The sequence below is a fragment of the Homo sapiens genome, chromosome 13 (assembly GCF_000001405.40).
Source record: "Homo sapiens chromosome 13, GRCh38.p14 Primary Assembly".
NCBI lineage: Eukaryota > Metazoa > Chordata > Mammalia > Primates > Hominidae > Homo > Homo sapiens.
In genome coordinates this window covers 87,077,775-87,081,255 of record NC_000013.11, presented here as the reverse complement: position 1 = coordinate 87,081,255, position 3,481 = coordinate 87,077,775, and the positions used below count along the sequence as shown (strand labels likewise).

Here is a 3,481-nt window from a genome sequence, read left to right as displayed (position 1 = left end):
TTTTCAGTTTGGTCTTTTCTGTTTTTTTTTTTTTTGTTGTTGTTGTTCTAAATTCTCTCTTTCTTAATTTGAATATTAATGTTGGACTGAAGTTGTGTTTTGTTTTCTCAAAAAGAATAAATGATGAGCGTATTTTTTAAATCTGTTTGTCTATTAAAGTCATTAAATTACCTATGCAATTTCATTAATATAATATATGATATGAAATAATATTTCCAAGATATATTGACATCCAAATTATTACGGTCCTTTTTTTATTATCTTTTATCTACCGGTATTACTGATGAAAAGTCTGATATTAGTCTGATTTCTTGCCTTTGTAGCTGACCCAATTCTATTTCTCTCTCTCTCTCTCTCTTTCTGTCTCTCATATACACATAAAACACAATATTTTAAAATCCAACCTCATAGACACTTATTTTGTGGTGTACTTTCAAGGAGTCATTACATTTTCCTAACTTTTTGATGGTGGTGGTGGGCCATATACAGCAGCTGCCGCGGTGGGAGAGGCTGGCCGGAGCTGCACACTCCGCAGAGCAGGTGGGGGCCGGAAACAGACGATCCCAGCAGAAGCCCCACGCCCTACCGAGTTGGTGGGATGGCAGCCCACGCCCTCGCATGCAGCTGCAGCCTCTCAACGGTGGCTCCGCACCTGGGCATCCCTGCGCTCTCAGGGGCCGGGAAGTCCCCTGCTCCCTGCAGGCTCAGAAGTGCCTGCTCCGGCTCCCTGGCATCTTCCCCCTTCCAGCACCAGCTCCTTGATGGAGCAAAACTGTGGATGTGTCCTGATAGCCGAGCCTGGACACTGTCACAACCTGGCCGAGTGTATGTGTTCTCAGGGCGTCGCTGACATGCCAGCCACCTGCTGCTTAGACCCCCTCTGGTAACTGCTTCTGAGGCCGAAACTTTGGGCACTGAAGGGCATGGGAGGTAGATGACGGGGCTGAGGGCAGCTCGGCGCGAGCCTGCATGTGACCCTTGGCATGGACAGCCTGGGTGCAGTGGACAGCATGTTGATGACAGCAGGAGGCAGACAGGTTCCTAGGCAAGAAGGGGTGGGTCCCCGGTGAGGCCGAATCTTCAAGCCAGGAATGGCCTGAACCTGGAAGGCCAGCCTCCTGGTTCTGATCACGACTCAAATTGAGAACAACCTTGATGCCTTTCAGCCAATCAAGTGGTGCTTTTTCCGGGACCACCCATGGCCCAATCAGCACACACTTCCTCCATTCTGAGCCCATAAAAAATCCCTGGGCTCCGCCAGACTCACACTCATTGGGACAACCTGCCTGTGGGTAGGAGCTGCCCATTTCGGGTCCCTCTTCTGCTGAGAGTGGTTCTGTCACTCAGTAAAGCTCCTCTTCTCCTTGTTCACCCTCCAATTGTCCATGTAACCTCATTCTTCCTGGAAAAGACGGTAAGAACTTAGAACCTGCAGAATGGCGGGAACAAAAGTAGCTGTAACACTTTCCTGGATGGCTCACCAAGTTGTGGCGTGGGCGGGGGTGCGGGGGGAATACTCTCCCAGACTGGAGGAATGAAGTGTGTCGACCTTTCTCGGGGCCCAGACCTCAGGATTCCTCAAGCCAGAGCTGTAACACTATAGCCCTCTCGCCCTCTGAGTCGCCCCACGTGATGGGAAGCAGTGATGGGGCCAGGCCAGCCCAGGAGCCATGGACCACAGCAGAGTGGCATGGCTGAAAGAGCTAGGACCACAGCAGAGTGGCATGGCTGAAAGAGCTATAACACAAATGGGCTGAAACACAGCCCCCTGAAATATGCGCCGCCCACCGTGATGCAGGAGATGAGAGGGAGAGAAGAGCTGTGGCACTTCTGGGATCCCAGACCTCAAGGTTCCCTGAGTCAGGGCTGTGCCATACTGTAACACCCTCTTTGGGGCTCTGCGACTCCTGGCCTCTCCAAGCTTTCCAGCCACCACCACATTCCCCTCGGCCAGACGCTGGTGCCTGCAGCAGAAGTCCAGTGCAGTACGCCTGGTCCAGGCACAGCCTTGCAAGCAGCCGGTGCCTGTGCCGGCGCCTGGAGATGCCCGCCCCACCACAGCCGCCGGCACACCTGGCTGTGCGCAGTGGCCGGAGCCCTCGCTTGCTCGCTCACACATCCTTCGCTGCTCCACATCTGGCTCGCCTTTGGCGGGCATGGGATTCACACGTCTCATGAAATTTTGTGAGGTTGGTAGGGTGAGCCAATGCAGGCTGCCGGGCCAAGTGTGCCGAATGAGCCCAGCGGGCAGTAGCAAAACTCAAACAGAGGCGCCGCTGGCAACAAAGGTTTCTGGCTGGTGAAGCAACACCTGAAGGAGCCTGTAACACCATGAATACGTCTAATATATGATTAGTCTGGAAATTTCAGGTTCTACATTTTCTCTCTTCTCTCGGAATCTCTTGTCAAATATTGGGCCATTTGGGTTGATACACTCTTTATCTATTTGTAATTCACCATAACTGCAGTGTTATACTTGATGTAAGTCTCCAAAAGATTAAACGTCATCTTACTGATTGCTTAATCAAGAGACCCATTTTCTGATCAATGTTGTGATTAAAATCATTGATGCTATTAATGGCAGAAAAGGTTGTTGCCTGTATTTATACATTTATTTGGAAGTTGTGTATTTTGTTTAGGGCATATTCTTTATGTTCTTTAGGAATGCATAGTGATGACACTAGCTGTTATATATTTTTATATATTTTCTGCTAACTGTTCCTCGATGATGAAGTGTTATTCTCATTTATACTGATTTTTTTATATGCTGGTATCCTTGGTTATTATTCATATTAAAATGTATAATAGATTGTGTTTCTAGAAATAATTTATGGTATTCCTCTCTTATGTGTTTGCATATGTAATCAAATGTGTGTGTGTGTGTGTGTGTGTGTGTACATATCTATTTGATAATCTGTTTCACTGACAGGTCTTTCCCTAAAAAGAAAAAAAAATGATTTGTGTAAATATTGCCACTAGGCTGTCTTTGCTTAATGGTAAGAAAAAACTTATTTTTGGAAACAAACGAGAACAATCTAACCCTGGAACACCAGGATTCACAACTGAATCCCTAATTGACTCCAGGCAATTAATTCAGATCCTCTATTGGTTAGCCCTCAGATTTTTACTGGGGTTAATCTTTATGATACCATCTGTATTGAGATGAAATAATTCAAGAGCTGAATGGTAGAGTGCTTTCATAACTATCCCTGTAATTAATGAGCTTGTTTTCAGCCTGAGTTTCACATGCTCTTCATGTTGATACTATGGTTGGAAAAACCCCAGTGGTCTGGCTGGAAAGTTGACTCCCACTATCAGTGCAGTCTGATATTGAACCTGTATTGGAACAATGCTAAACTCTTTCATCCTCTGACATCTCTTCTTTTATATATATATAATCTCAACTTTGGTGGGTTTGTTTCCTTTCATGTCACTTTATTTTCATATTAATAAGATCTGTTGAAGAAGGAGGGAGAAAAAT

General features: G+C 46.5%; 1 annotated feature.

The window, feature by feature from the left end:
• Window positions 205–704: an enhancer, noted in NCBI's record as "H3K4me1 hESC enhancer chr13:87732807-87733306 (GRCh37/hg19 assembly coordinates)". NCBI's record gives its function as "activates a minimal SCP1, AML or CMV promoter by ChIP-STARR-seq in naive H9 embryonic stem cells {active_cell/tissue: H9 hESC(naive)}" and the evidence as "EXISTENCE:reporter gene assay evidence [ECO:0000049][PMID:30033119]".